Source organism: Homo sapiens, chromosome 13 (assembly GCF_000001405.40).
Source record: "Homo sapiens chromosome 13, GRCh38.p14 Primary Assembly".
Lineage (NCBI taxonomy): Eukaryota > Metazoa > Chordata > Mammalia > Primates > Hominidae > Homo > Homo sapiens.
This window is the reverse complement of record NC_000013.11, coordinates 29101256-29117369: the sequence shown is the minus strand read 5'-3', so window position 1 is coordinate 29117369 and position 16114 is coordinate 29101256. Positions and strand designations below refer to the sequence as shown.

Below are 16114 nucleotides of genomic sequence, written 5' to 3'. Positions count from 1 at the left end.
CCTCATGCACAGGTGATAAGAATGACAGGGGTCCAGCACCTGGTCAGGCCAGGGCAGGGCATGCTTAACTGGAAGTCCACATGGGTCGCAGAAGGCAGGGAGACACAAAATGCTGTGGCTGCAGCATCCAGAGAAGCCCATCCATCTTAACCTCAGATCCAAGCTGAGGGGCTATCAAGAAAGGAAAGGATTGTAAAATAGCTCATTCTTTGCTCACAGAACCTCAGCACACAAAGAGAGAACCAAGTACTCAAACTAGAGAAAGTATCATGAACACGGTAAAGAAATACTCCCAAAGAAGGAGAAGGGCCTGAGTTAATCTTTCAGAACTTCTTGGAAGAAGTAACCCTACCTAGCAATGCTGGGAAGAAACACTATACTTGCAGTCAACTTGAAATTAGTACAGTAGTCCCCCCTTATCCATGGTTTTAGTTACCCAGGGTCAACTGTAGTCCAAAAATATTAAGTGAAAAATTCCAGAAACAAACAATTTATAAGTTTTAAATTGCATAACATTCTGAGTAGCAAGATGAAATCTCATGCTTCATTGTTCAGTCCCATCCAGGATGGGAATCATCCCTTGGTCTGGGAGATTCACACTGTAAGCCCTGCCTACCTACCCTGAGTCACTTAATAGCCATCTCAGTGATCAGATGGACTGTGGCGGCGTCTTAGTGCCTGTGTTCAAGGAACCCTTATGTTACTTAAGAATGGCCCCAAAGTGCAAGAAGAGTGACGGGCTGGCATATTATTACAATTATCTATTTTATTATTATTGTTCTTAATCTCTTGCTGTGTCTAATTTGTAAGTCATACTTGATCCTAGGTATGTATGTATAGGAAAAAACACGGTATATGTATCCTTTGGTACCATCCAAGGTTTCAGACATCCACTGGGGGTCTTGGAACTCATCCCTAGGAATGGATAAGGAAGAATTGATGTACATAATAGAACCATAGACTAAGTCCCCTGATATAAGAAAGTAAAATCTCAATGTCTTGGCTATAGTGAGAAAAAGTTCTCACCAGTTCCTTAGGAAGAACTAGACAAAACCTACCACACATAATCTAAATTTATTGCATATATTTAGGGTAAAAATAATACATAGTAAATACATCTAATTCTATCTTATGGATTTAGTTATTCTCAATTTATCCCTTTTGTCTTCATAAAGTTCTGACTTGCTTGACAGATATCTGAATTGAACCCCATATAGCCCCTAGCACAATAGAGAACATGGGGCCTAGGGGCCAGGCATGGAAGCAGATTTATGGAAGCTGACTCATATTTTACTTATGTCTCGGTATGCTCCAGGTTAAAACAGCACATTATTCACAGATATCTACATGCCAACACAGTAAAGACTCAGCAACAATCCTATAATGCCTGGTTGGTCTAGTTGATATCATGCTCTGTTATGGCCCCACCACCCTTAAGTAGAATAAACACACACATTCTGTAATTCAGCTTAACATGTGTAAGACTTCTTTTTAAAGAATCAGTTGGAGGGAACACTGAATATCACTGAGTTCAAATGCTTCCTTTTACTGATGAAGAACCTGAGGCCCAAACAAGTAAATTAATTAGCTTGCCTACGGCCACCCAGCCAGTTAGTTTTAAGAGGGCCCAGTGGTCCTGGCTACCAGTCCACCTCTCCTTCCTTAGGTTTCACTACCTTGTGAAGTTAAAGGAAACCAATAAATTACATTTTCGTATGTAATTATGAATGACTTATTAGATACAAAGATACGTTATCTTTAATGCATACAATCTTTACAATATTTAAATCAGTTATCTTTTTCTTATGATTTTTGACAAGATGAACTAAGTCTAAATGAAAATAAGAAACAACAATGCCTAGTCTTTAGTGAGTCTGGTTATTGGTTACTCCAGAATATGTGGCTGGCTGACATATGGCCTGGTCAAAATCACCCTTAACAACTAGCCAGAAAGGAACCTTCAGATCCCAATGCCAAATTCACACATGCACATAGGACTCCTTGATATTCAAACTCCAGTTGGGAAAGCTATTTTATTGACATCGCCAAAGGAGCCAAAACTGTCTCACAAATGTACGACCTGCATATATTCAACCGCATAAGAACATTCAACAGAATACATCAGCTTAGCATTGACAACTTACCACATTCACCTAGTCTGTTGGCAGACTAGACATATTCATGGCAGTTATCGCATTAATGGGATCTAGACATTCTTAATCACAATGTCTGTAATATTTCATTTTAATAGTACCTGCCAGCAGATAAAAAAAATCTACATTTCATTTCATTTATCCTGTACATTTCTCTCACATCTTGCATTACTTTCTATTCAGGTGGCTCTGGCTCAAGAATATGCAATGCAGGTGCCTACAGTAATTTAATAGCTCTATCATCTGCATGGCAAATTCATGGGGGTAAGATGTGTATGCCACAGAAATAAAGTTACCTTTTTATCTAAGCACCTACTTAAAAAATTTTTCTGTTTAAACAGTATTTCAGAAGTAATCTGGCATTGCCCTTAATTGAAAATACAAATTTCCACACCTTAAGAGATCCCAAGAACTGCCTCAAGCTGAGGCGTTAGCTCTGACCCTCATTGCATCCCTGCCTGGGGAGGGCAGGGCAAGCGAGCAGCTGGACAGGAGGTCTTCAAGAAAACCAGGAAGAGGATAATAGTGCACCAATGGCTCCTTATTCCCTTCTCAGTTATTCCCTACCATGGCCATCTTACTATCTGCACCTCAAGCCCCTCACTTCCCTTCCTTACTTCCTCCATCTTTCCTTTGATTTAATATATTTCTCTCCCCCTCCTACTTTTCCTTCTAGTTTTGATACTGTCCACCTTTACCTACATAGAGTGAAACTATTATATTTAGACACTATGAAGGTATCTTGAACAAAATGTCAAATTACATCTGCTCTGCTGCTCTTACATATGAGGATGGATATGGCTCTGATCACAATGGATGATTTATTCCATCTTCTATGAACTAGTCTTCTGATCAACAGTATGAACTTGTAAAATAAACAAGTGGGGATAAAGACAGCATCTATGGTCTTAGAAAAGCATCCCCAGTCCCAACTCCTATACAAAGCTTTAAAGTGAAAACGTGAGATCTTCATTAGCTCTATGTCACCAACTGTATTAGTCTGTTCTCATATTGCTATAAAGAAGTACCTGGGACTGGGTAATTTATTTAAAAAAAAAAAGGTTTAATCAGCTCATGTTTCTGCAAGCTGTACAGGAAGCATAGTGGCTTCTGCTTCTAGGGAGGGCCTCAGGAAGCTTCCAATCATGGCAGAAGGTGAAGGGGGAGCAGGTATCTCACACAGTCCGAACAAGAGCATAAGAGAGACAGGGGGAGGTGTCACACATTTTGAAATGACCAGACCTCGGGGGAACTCACTTGCTATCACAAGGACATACCAAAGGGGATGGTGCGAAGCCATTTAAGAAAACCGCCCCCATTATCTAATCACCTCACACCAGGCCCCACCTCCAACACTGGGGATTACATTTCAATATGAGATTTAGGTAGGGACACACATCCAAACCGTATCACCAACCCAGGACCCTAAAGTTCCAGTCTTTAGGAATTCATGTGGTGCAGCTCCACATGAAGGAAGAAATAACTGCCATTGTGAATCTTGAAGATGCTGCTGTAAGAAGTATTGTTATATCTTTAAAAAAAAAATCCAAACCGATAATCCAGTCTAGAACTGTACTATCCAATAAGGGAACTACTAGCCACACATGGCAACACAAAGTCATTAACATTAAATAAGATTTAGAACTCAGCTCCTCAGTTATGCCAGCCCCATTTCAATGGCTCATTAGCTCCATGTGACTAGTGGCTACCGTATCAAGAGCAAAGATGAACACTGCAGAAATTTCGATTGGGCACAGCTGATCTAAAGAGACAGGAGGGCCCTATTACAAACCAGCAATAAGAAAATGCCTTTCTTGGCAATTTGACTATAGTAGCGAATTCTGTCTCTAATTCTTGAGGCAAGTGGGCATACCTGCCCTAAAGCCAGCAATTTTCAACTGTGCTCCATGGAGTCCCTTAGTGGCTGGTGCAGGTAGAAAGGACAGGAAAGGGAAAGGCAGACAGAGCAGGCTCAGGGCTGCATACATCCCTCTTCAACCAGCACCTCTGCTTCCATAGAGTTGTATGTATCACTTGACTCCAAGCTCCTGAGAAACATTATATATTCACTTTGGAGTTTTAATTGCTATAAATTATCATGCATGGGGAAAAAAATTGGAGAGACGTGGGATCTACCACCACATCACTGGAGACGGCCCTAAAATCCATCAGATTGTTTCCGGTATAAAATCATGTTTTCCAACCTCACATGGGCCTTCTGTGCAACTCTGCAATTCCCCCATGCACCTCTTACTGACTCAGTGTATTACTCAAAGAACCATTACCTGCCTCTTTATGTAATCCCATGTCCAATTCCATCATGGTTACTCTCTGCAAAAACTCTACTTCTTAATTACCTGGGACAAATGAGGCGACCTGATATGACCTCCTTGAAGTCTTTTCTTCTCTGTCCAAAATTTCTCAGCACTCATCCCTTATGCCTTTGTTTCTGTCTTCATGGCTGTACCTCCACTTGTATATTAAATAGCATTCCCTCCTATTTGCCCCAGGAATTGCTCCATCTACTATTCTCACTTGCTTTCATCTTCAATCTCTCCCTGGTTACTGGATCTTTCTCCTCAGAGCATAAGCATTCTTATGTGCTTAAAAAAAAGAGCAAACACATAACAAACCAACTTCTCCTGCTACGGTTCTTTCCCTTTTCCTCACCAAACTTCTCAACAGTAGTAGACACTCTCCACCTTTACCTTCCTTACCCCCTTGTAACCTGATTTCTGCCTTCATACATTTTGTTAAACTCACTTCAAAGCTACCAGTGACATCTTAATGACAGTCTGCAGACCCATTCTCCTCAATATCAAAACATCTCAGCCCCACAGCACAGATGGCTTGACCAGCCATCTCTTTCCAGGAACCTCTCTCCCTCAGCTTTGGTGATGCTGGTCGTGTCTGACACTCCTCTGCCTCGCTGACCAAGCCTTCTCCGGCTGTCTCCTATCTCCTGCCCCTGCAACCTAGACAGATACTCCCTACACAATGTGTCAGCTTCCCTCTTCCCATTTCATTCTGCATGCACTCCCTCAATGATGTCAGTCACAATTCCAAACATCACTTATTTTCCATGGCTGTTCTCCTTATTTTCAGCCCAAATCTGCTGGATGTAGTTATAGGAAGGGAAGTATGCTGCTGTGGATGTACTTATAGGAATGGATGTATGATGTAGTTATAGGATGGATGTCTGCTGGATGTAGTTATAGGAATGCTTCTCAACATGACCAAACCCAAACTCATCAAAGCCTCACAAATAAGCTTCTCTTCCTGTACACAGTGTGGAATGGCACTTTCTTACTTTATCATTCCCACTGTAACCCCCTAGTTTGGGCTCCCATTAACTCTCTCCTGCTAATTGCTGCCTGTTACAGGAGCCCAAAAAACCCTCTGACATAACCATATAAATTATTTTATTTCTCCTTGCAAAAAAAAAAATATATCAATCTCTTCGCTCTGTCTACTGCCTTTGGAAAAATACCACAAGGGTTTTTGCGAACCTTCCCAGAAGATGGCCTATGCATGTTACAACAATGCAAGAAAGCACATACTGTTGGCAAAGTTCCCATGAGAAGCAAGATTCATCTAGAAGCTATGTTTGCTTGCTTTTTGATATTCTCACTCTGCCATAGTCTCAAGTGAAATTAGAGTTGTGACAAAATGTGACCTCTGACCTAGAGTTTCTGCTAAGATAAAAGCAACAAAATGTATGAAAATGTTTCCTCCTCCTCTTCCTTTCCACCTCCTTGCATCTCCTCATCTTTGTTCTGGTACTGGACTAATAATCCAAGATGCTCGGCATTAGAGAGAGGGTAAGAGCAAGAAAATAACTCCCAAGCATCTCATAGCTCTGCATTTTACAGAAAAAAGCAAGGCAGTAAAACCTTTGCACTGTTCTCTGTTATTGTTCTAAAATTTTTATCTTATTAAGACAGAGAAAAAATAACAGAAGTAAAGTCTGGCCCAGAGGGAAAGCATCATTAATTTTGGAAGAACCAAGATGTCTCATGCCCAGTTTCCCTTCTCCAAACTACTTTATTCACCATTATCATATTAATTTTCCTTGAACACAATTCTACTATTCCTTACTTAAGACCATAAGTGGTTCCATTTTTTATACAGAATAAAGTCATAGAATACCAGCTCTTGAGAGCCCAAATTGGTCAATTCATTTAATCCAATCCCTCTGAACTTTATGATAAAAATCTTAGTCCAGCGAGGTTAACTGACTTTCCCAAAGATCATTCCATTATTGAAAATGCTGGGTTTATGCATATTATACATGCTAATATGTCATATTTCTTTTCTAAAATACGATTTCCATAGCTCCAGGTATCTTTTCTTCATTAAACATATTGAATGGGCTAGAACATCCTAGAATATGGCACTTATAAACTTTATAAACCTCTAGAGAAACAATATGATTTCTAAGTTAGATCCAGATATCTGAGTTAAGGTGGATAAACTAGGAGTTACTGAAGCAATCAAGAAAATATTTTCACTTAAAGGCAATGCTCAAAAACACTCAGAAAAAAAAATGTTCTCCTTTGTAAATGTGTGGGAAGGAAGCAAAGAAAAGAGGAAAGAGAAAGAACTGAATGTGTGGGAATAATTGGGAAGATTAACAGCAAGATTCACTAAAAATGATTCCATTTTTTTTCTTGTAAAGAATACTTTAAATTTCATAATTACAGATTCCAGGGAACTAGATACTTAAATCCATTAGTGACATTTGTTTGACTTCCGCATTTCCAGAGGAAATCAGAAGCTTATTTTAGTTTTTGTTCTCACTCTTCTCTTTTTCACCCACCCAAATTGGGTTGAGATGTTTGACAAAGTAAGCCCTAGTACAATGGAAATTAGGCTCTAGCAAAATGAGAAGCTGTGCAAAGCCCTTTAAGTACTGTGAAATCAAATGTTCCCATTCTTCCAACAGATATTGAAAAGGCACAGAAATAAAATCAGATCCAACTCTCACTTTCTATTTTGAGCAGAGGGTTTAAATGCCATCAGCTTAGATTAATGTATTAGTCACCTCGCATAAGTATGTTTCATTTACAGGGAAGCCAAGTGAATATATTAACTAAAATGATAATGTGCTGAAGGCACGCCATAGCCTTTTTAAATAAAGAAATCATGATTTTCCTTGTCTGTATTTTGTAAATGTCCAAACCACCACAAGTTTACAACTCAAAAGAAAGAGATTGCCATGAAAATCAAATGATCAACCTCCACTTTCATGTCTCAAAAACGATATGTTTTTAGCTTAACACTCACTCAGAAGGTTATTCACCATATATGTGTGAGGTTGTTATAAAAATTCAAAACTAGAATATATGTCGTCTGCCTGACTCAGATGTCAGCAGAAGCACTTTCTTTACTCCATCACAGATACATTAATCCATCATGGTCATCTTTTAACTGAGTTTCTGAATCCTTACACACATGGCCAATGGATGGAAATGCCCACAGAAACATCATTATTATTGGGCAAATCTCCTTTCTAAGTACTTTGCAGATATTAATTCCATCTGATGCTCCCATCGACCCTATTGATGGTTTAACTTATTTTAATCATTATTAATATTATTATTATTTTACAATGAGGAAACAGAGAAAAATTAAGCAACTTGCCCAAAGTCACAAAGCTAGCAAACTGCAGAGGTGGGATGTGAGCCCAGGCAATGTATCTCCAGAGTCTGTACTCTTCACCACTACTGTGTCATCTCATCAGTATGGGGAGGTATTGGTTAAAGGGTTCAAAGTTTCAGGTATTCAGGAGGAGTAAGTTCTGGAGATCTAATATACAGCATGGGGTTGATTATTAATAACACTATATTGTATACTTGAAATTTGCAAAGAAGATAGATCTTAAATGTTCTTACCACACATACACACACACACATATACACAGAAGAGGTAACTATGTGAGGTGATGGATATGTTAATTAACTTGATTGTAGTAATCATTTCACAATGCATATGTATATCAAAACATCATAATGTAAATATACACAATCTTTATTTGTCTGTTATACTTCAAAAAGGTTAGAAGAAGAACGGTTGTCTAAGAGCTTTCTAGGGACCACTAAATGTAAAAATAAAATAAAACAAAAAATAAATAAAAACTAATACAGAGAGAAGGTGGGGTTTTAACCTTCTATGGAAATGTTCAAACATACACAACAAGTGAAGTAGTACAATGAATCTTCATGGTTCCATCATCCAGCTTCAAATATTTTCAAATATTTGTCAATCTTTTTTCACCTATCTTCTCCCACCTCTAGTTGTTTTTCCTCCCCTTTGGTGGAGTATTTTATAAGCAAATTCAGAAGGTTGTCAATTACCTAAAACCAATGTGGAAGAATTCCATCTGAAGACATAATGCAGTAGTGCTGAGCCAGCCTGGAGAGGACCTGCAGGGCATGAGGTCTTTCTTCACCTCACTCAGGATGCATGGATACTTCCCCCTTCCTGTGCCTCCTCCCTCCCCTGCCCACCAAATGCTGTGTGGTCTTCAATCATAGCCATGCTAACATTTCCCTGCATGGCTTTATGTGCATAATCCTGTCTCCCCATTCCCTGCAAGTGTGAGTGAGGACTCACCCTTGTCCAGGTCATGGCAGCCCTGGCGCTGAGCTTATGCTTACCACATAGAATATGCTGAAAGAATGTAGAATCGGGAAAGGGTAAGCAGATAATCTAATCTTCATAAAACAAGCCAGCCAAGAACACTGAAGCAGTTCAACTAGACATTATTTGTACTATAAATAAAAATGTTCCCCAAACCTTCAGTTTATCTTATAACCAGAAATGGTCAACATCCTTAAAAATAAAACAAAACATGCTTGCAATCTAATCCTATCTCTGGGTGCAACTCATCATTGTCTGAGTGCTTCTGAAGAGAATGAACAAAGACATCATTAAGAGTAACATCAAACAGGCAATAGCTTCTCTGAAGTCTGACCTCACAAGCCACCTTTGGCTGCTTTTTCCATGAATAAAAAATGACTCTCTCATTGCCGATGAACATGAGATGGGTTAATGGCTGTTTCTGTAAGTTATTAATAACATTTCTTGTCAACCCTGATCTTATTTAAAATGCATGTCAGACGTAGAAAATCAAATGTGTTATGTATGTAAATGTATTTTATAGTATTCATCAGTGTAAACCCTAAAGTTAACATTGCAAAAAGCTTTCATATTAACCCTCATTTTCATTGATTAACCTTCCAAAAGGCTAGCAGTTTTCCACTTCAGATAATTATCCCCAGAACCCAAATCCTATTCAATAATTAAAAGAACATTTACTTATTTTATATATTAAAACAAGAAATAAAACTCTAGAATTTAATAAGAATATCTATACTTGATCTTAGCCAAAAGGCTGAGAAGTGATTAATGAGAATATCTAACCTCCTCAAAACGAGACATCTAAGTTTGGAAACTTTGAAATTCTCTCACGAATAGCCTCAAAGGTAGGGTTTTAGCCCAATTCTTTAAAAACAATTAAGTATATCCAAGGAGATATATAGGTTACTGGATACTTGTGAGACTACTAAGTCAGTCTTTATGATGTTTATCTCTGAATATATTTAGAGTTCAAAGGGTTTTCTACTCTTTGGCTTATGTAAATTATCTCTATGTATACCACAGTCAATAAAAATAACATTTTAGAGGTCCTAGAAGAATGTGAGAGCCATAATTATGAGCTTCATCAACTATGAAAATCCATGCATAAAGTAAAAATATGTTCCCAATACAAAATACTCTCAAAGATACCTAAGTTACTCTCAAAAATCTTTTTCCATACCCTTACATAAGAGAAAAAGTTTCTATTGGGAGATAACTTCCCTTAAAATTCTACTATTGTAAAGGACAGTGTCCTTTAGTGTGAGAGATACTAAAATTATTAAGAGGCATAGCCCCCACCCCCTAAGAGCTTATAGTCTGTAGGGGAGAGAGGACATAAAAACAAATAACTACAAGAACTAGTAGGTAATAAAAGTGATACAAGCCAAGAGCCCTAGGGGTTTCCAGGAACAAAAAAATCACATTGAGGGATTTTTAGAGGAAGTAAAATTTGAAATGTACCTAAAAGTGATAGAATCTGCAGAGAGAGATGGCAGGTGGTGCGGGTAGGGATAGAAGGCCGGGGGAGGTGTATTCCAGAGATGAATGGTTTAAATCAAAACCAAAAGGCAGGAAAGCACAAAGCCCTCATAGAAAAATGTGAGCAACACATTTTTGTTACTCACATTTGGCTAGTTGGGAGTATATGTCAGGATGGTATGCAGGGAAGGTGGGAGGGCCAGGTCATGGAAGACCTGGGAAGTCTGACAGGTGAAGCAGGCATAGGGGCACCATGCAGCAATTGAAACGGGGTCAAAGGGAAAATTACCAAGGACCATGTGCTTGTGGATTAGAAAGCACTGCCACAGTTTTAACAGAGATGAGGAGAGAGAAGAATGAGGATGTGGTAAGTGCCAGAGAGAAAGAATTCACCAGAAATGATGAGTGAACAGAAAAGAAGGCAAAAAGCAGCCATGACATGGCCAGGCACGGTGGCTCATGCCTGTAATCCCAGCACTTTGGGAGGCCGAGGCAGGTGGATCACAAGGTCAGGAGTTCAAGACCAGCCTGGCCAAGATGGTGAAACCCCATCTACTAAAAATACAAAAACTAGCTAGGTGTGGTAGCACATGCCTGTATTTCCAACTACTCAGGAGGCTGAGGCAGAGAATTGCTTAAGCCCAAGAGACAGAGGCTGCAGTGAGACGAGATCATGCCACTGCACTCCAGGTAACAGAGCAAGACTCCGTCTCCAAAAAATCAGCAGGCATGACATAATGCTGATTTTGAAATTCCCAACCTGGGTTGCCAGGTGATCACAGATATCATTAAAAGATAGAGCAACTTCCAGAGAAGGTTTTGGTTTGTACTAAAAAACGAAGAATTTGTTTTCTGAAAAAGTGTTCAGTTTGCAGTGAGCTGGGCCATCGGGTTAGAGATACTTGATGGCTCATTTGAAATGCAGGTGAGTAGTTCTAGAGGGACATCGGAGCTAGAGATACAGATATGAGCATTGTGTCCAAACTGTTAAGGGCTGAAACTGTAGATCAGATGACAAGGTGAAGACTAGGAGACCTGAACAGACACATTCTGAGAACAAATCTTGGGGAGCTCAAATATGTAGGCTTAGCACCCAGGAGACAAACAGCGCCACGATGAAGTGGCAGGCTGCACCAGGAATGGCAACTCCTCAGATTCAGGAAGTTTTCTGAATGCACCAACAGCACCGCTCCCCTACCAAAGATCTCCTAGAGTTCATCTCCACCTTCCAAAAGGCTGTCTGGCTTACAATCCCTTCTGAGAAACAACCTGATATCCTCATCAGAAATTAACCCTCCACTTCATGACACTTTTCAGGCTCCGAAAACATACATCCTTTGCCAGGATTATTTATGCGAACGTCAGCCTCTCTGCCCACCTCCCCAGCTGTATCCCTACTTCCCTATCATCTGAATACTTCTGTGCACCAGGAAAAAAAGAAAAAAACAGGAGAAAAACTTCTAATTTTTTTTTTACTTGTTTTTTAAATTCTTTGCCCCATGATTTCTGTTCTTAGGTTATCCCATGGAGAAAACATGGCAGTATTTGAAAAGAGAGGAAGAAGAGGAGAAACTGGAAAGGAAAGCTGCAAATATCATATTCTTCATGTACTTCTTTGATAGCTATTTTCTGTTTCTTGGGCACCCAGTAAATGAAGTGCTATTCAGAATACATAATGACATAGGATCTTCCACATAAATTATTCTATCCTTGGGCGATATGATCTATTTTCATTAATGATTAATTTATGAAACCTAAGTCATCCTATTTTCCCTCCGCACATGTTCCTAAAGATTTTGACTTTAAGTCGCATCTGCCTACCCACTTGGAAAATCAAGTCTATACCTAATTACTGATTAATGTGATAACGAAGTACAGGTTGAGTATCCCTTATCCAAAATTCTTGGGACCAGAATTGTTTTGAACTTTGGAATTTTTCAGATCTTGGAATATTTTTATTATACCAGTTGAGCAACTCAAACCCCAAAATCCAAAATCCAAAATGCTCCAGTGACTATTTCCCATGGGCATCGTGTCAGTGTTCAAAATAATTTTGGGTTTTGGAGCATTTCGAATTTCAGATTTTCTGATTTGGGATGCACAACCTATACACATTAGGTAATAGTATGTTTCCGACACTAAATTCTATAGTACGGTCATTATTTTTATCAGTAAGTTTCTATCACCTAAAGTATATTTGGGATCTTTTTTTCATCTCTGAACATTATAAAAGAACTAAGGAGCCACATCCTGGGTCAGACCGATATGTTAAGTTTACGCTTAATTTCTAAGTTAGAAAATTACGTTCCCTCTTTCAATGTAAATATTTTTTTGAAAAGCTATGGGTCACTAATTTGAGGCTCTAAATGGGCCAACCTTGTAATCTTCATGTGACGAACTGGTAAGGGAATGAAGGGAGCTGCCTAGGGCTATCCTGGAGGCACGATACACATGCAGGTGCTGTGTGAGTCCACAGGAACTGTGGCTACTTGTTGAAGATTACAAGGAGGCAATCTGAACTCATAGAGAGCACTTCCTAAGGAGAGCCTCAGAGGTGGCTTCTGCGTAAAGCGGAACCCTCTCTAGCTCTTAAGAGCATTCCCGCAGGGGCTGGCTGACAACCTGGGAAGCCTGAGGGGCCTCTCAAGTCAGCTCTGACTCTAAGATTTGCTTTACTAATAGAAAGAAAATATATTCAAATCATGCATATATCTTCCCTGTATATGGCAGCTTTAAGAAGGAAATAGAGTAGAAAGAACACCAGCCCAGGACCCAGGGCAAGTCAACCTGATCTCAGTTTGCTCAGCTGTAAAATGGGTGGTAAACTGGATGGTAAGATACCTTCAAGTTCTGAGGACCTATGAACATAATTCATTTCCCTGTGCCTGTCTTGTTTGCCACAACCTTGTGGAAAAGGTAAAAAGACATAGAAGAGCACCTGACTTAGAAAGCCTCTGCTCAATGGGGTTGGGCTAATGGCCTGAAGCCTGAGCCCAGGGTGGATGCGGACTCTATGTGGAACAGCTGAGACCCCAAATGGTCCTGCCATCTCATGTCCAGGGGGATGCATGGGGCTCCCGTTTCCACATTCATCATCACTTGCCCCTCAGGACCCAGGGAAACAGCAAGGAAGAGTCTCAGTAGAGCCAGGCTAGCCTAGGAAACACTCATAAATTCATAATGAGTCACTTAAAAGTGTCCCAATATAGCATGCCACAGTCAGTGTGGACATTGTTTAGACTGTTAATATGCACAAACATCTAAAAATATGAATTATACTTTGCAAATACCATATGCACCACATAACGATGCTTCAGTCAACAACAGAACACATATAGGACAGTGGTCCTGTAAGATTATAAATGAGCTGAAAAGTTCCTATTGCCTAGTGACGTCTTAGCCACCGTAATGTCATAGCACAACACATTACTCACGTTTGTGGTGTTGCTGGTGTAAACCAGGCCTCCAGGATAGCCCTGGTTTATCACATAAAAGTGTACAATGATGTCCTAGACCTTCATATTCATTCACAACTCATTCTCTGACTCACCAAGAGCACCTTCCACTCCTGCAAGCTTCATTCGTGCTTACGTACCCTATACAGGAACAGCATTTTTAGTTTTTAAACCATAGCTTTACTATACTTCTTCTATGTTTAGATATTGTTACATATACCAATACGCACTATTGTGTTATAATTGCCGACAGTATTTAGTACAGTAAATGCTCTATAGGTTTGCAGCCTAGGAGCCAAGGCTATACCATATTGCCTAGGTGTGTAGTAGGCTATGTCATCTAGGTTTGTGCAAGTACACTCTATGATGTTTGCGCCACGATGACACTGCCTAACAACATACTTCTCAGAACATATCCCCGTCATTAAGCAATGTGTGACTATAGATTCTTATCATGCTCATGTTTCAGATTTTGAAACATCTACTCTGCATGACATAATCCCTAATTACAGCAGTATTCCTTAAATGAATCCTATGTGAAAATAATGTCTGCAAAAAGACCAGCTTTCCAAGAAGAAGAAAAAAGGACCGATTCTGATACCACATTGGCTGTTTCCATGAGCTGAACCAGCAAAGCTTTGCTCCAGCAAAGCTTTCCACACACCATCTCTGTAAACTCAAGAAAGAACAGAGAATGAACAAGCTTGGAGAAGAAAGCTTTGTTGGAAAGATATATACCATATGAGAAGTTGATCTAAGGACTTTTAGCTCTCTCAAGAGCTTCATATTTTATTTATTCCCTGTCATCAAAGCATCATCTCTTCGCTAAAGAACAGAAACAAAATATTTATTGACATTACATCTAATAACAAGTATAGGTATAATGATTAGTAGTACTTAGACAAATCAAATTCATGGGGGGTTTTTCTGTGATTTATTGGTGAAGTAAAAATTACATATATAGTAGGTAGCAGATAATTAAAAATCAATTCTAACATATGTTTCTTAAAATAGAAAACAATTCTGGATAGACATTCATATAAAAGTGTGACTTTTAGTATGAAGTCTTTAAACTGGGAGTTATTTTCTCTGGCACATACAGCTCTTATCCCCTGGGTGCTCAGGGGTCCCTCTCTAGTATCCTCTGAAGCAGAGGTGAGAAGAAATGTCCTAAGCGCACCTGCAATTATTCTGTCCAGACCTGTCAGCTCTCTGTCAGCAAAAGCTGCTGTCATGTGGACATGGCTCATCTTGCCTTGAGGTTAATTTTTTTTAAGACATCAAAATCTTAACTCCTTTGTTGGAAAGATATATATCATATGATAAGTTTTTCCTTCATACTACTTTCTCTAAAAAAGAAACACGTCATCAGGAATTTTATTAATAAAAATGATGATAAATAGTTGCTCCTGTATTTTCAAATCATCAGACTGCTAATATGCACATGCATATCTCAAAACATGAATTACACATTTGCAAACAGTTCTTTATTACATTCATGTTTCAGATTTTGAGACCCCTACTGTGTAATGATGTAATCACTAATTACAGTGATATTCCTTAAATGTATCCTGTGTGAAAGCAGGCCTCAGCTACGGCACCTTCAGGAAACCAACAGAGCAAATAAAACACCCTTAGAAACTGCTTACAAACACATCAAGACAAAGGGAAATGTAATGTATTACTTTTATAAATAACTAGGTAGACCAAAATTTAGAACTACGCAAATGTTCCACACATCATCTCTGTAAACACAAGAAAGAACAGAGAATAAACAAGCTTGGACAAGAAATTGACAAAATAACAAATCAATCGATCTCTCTCTCTCTCTTTCGAATTATTCCAGCTTGATTCAACTTCTATAACCCCTTCAAAACAGCTCTCTACGTGGAAACCTCTAAGACTTTCCTGGGCCCCTGGCAAGGTCTTGAAAACAACATCTGAGATGTCATGGTTTCCCATCCAATAACATTGACTTTGAAGTGGTGACTGAGATGGGGTTTGGTCATCAAAGGCACAGCTGAATGGGCAACCTCCAGATCTTCCTCAGGGACAGCAGCTGTTGTAACATGCTCTGCAGGTTATTCATTCATACTTTAAAATGCAGTCTACAATACCAGTCTCAGGAAATGGGCCTGCAACAGCACCATCTCAGCTAATGGAGATCTTCCTGGGCATGGACTTGAAGAAGCTTGGCAGTGCTTTGCTACTTTTAACATCATTTATTTAACTTTCAGAAATCCAGTCAAGTGCTCTGGCAGTGTGAAGGCATTACTGGTAATCACAGGCGACTAAATGATTCTTTCAGCTAATATTAAATATCTAGTATGTTTCATGACAGCACAATGTAGGTAACACCTTTCTTGGATCTTTCTTTGACTTCTT

At 39.3% G+C, this 16114-nt stretch overlaps 1 protein-coding gene across 13 annotated transcripts in view; it reads right to left on the bottom strand.

Moving 5' to 3' along the window:
- The window catches only part of MTUS2 (microtubule associated scaffold protein 2), a 685985-nt gene that overhangs the window by 388578 nt on the left and 281293 nt on the right, over positions 1 to 16114 (bottom strand). The window lies entirely within an intron of this gene.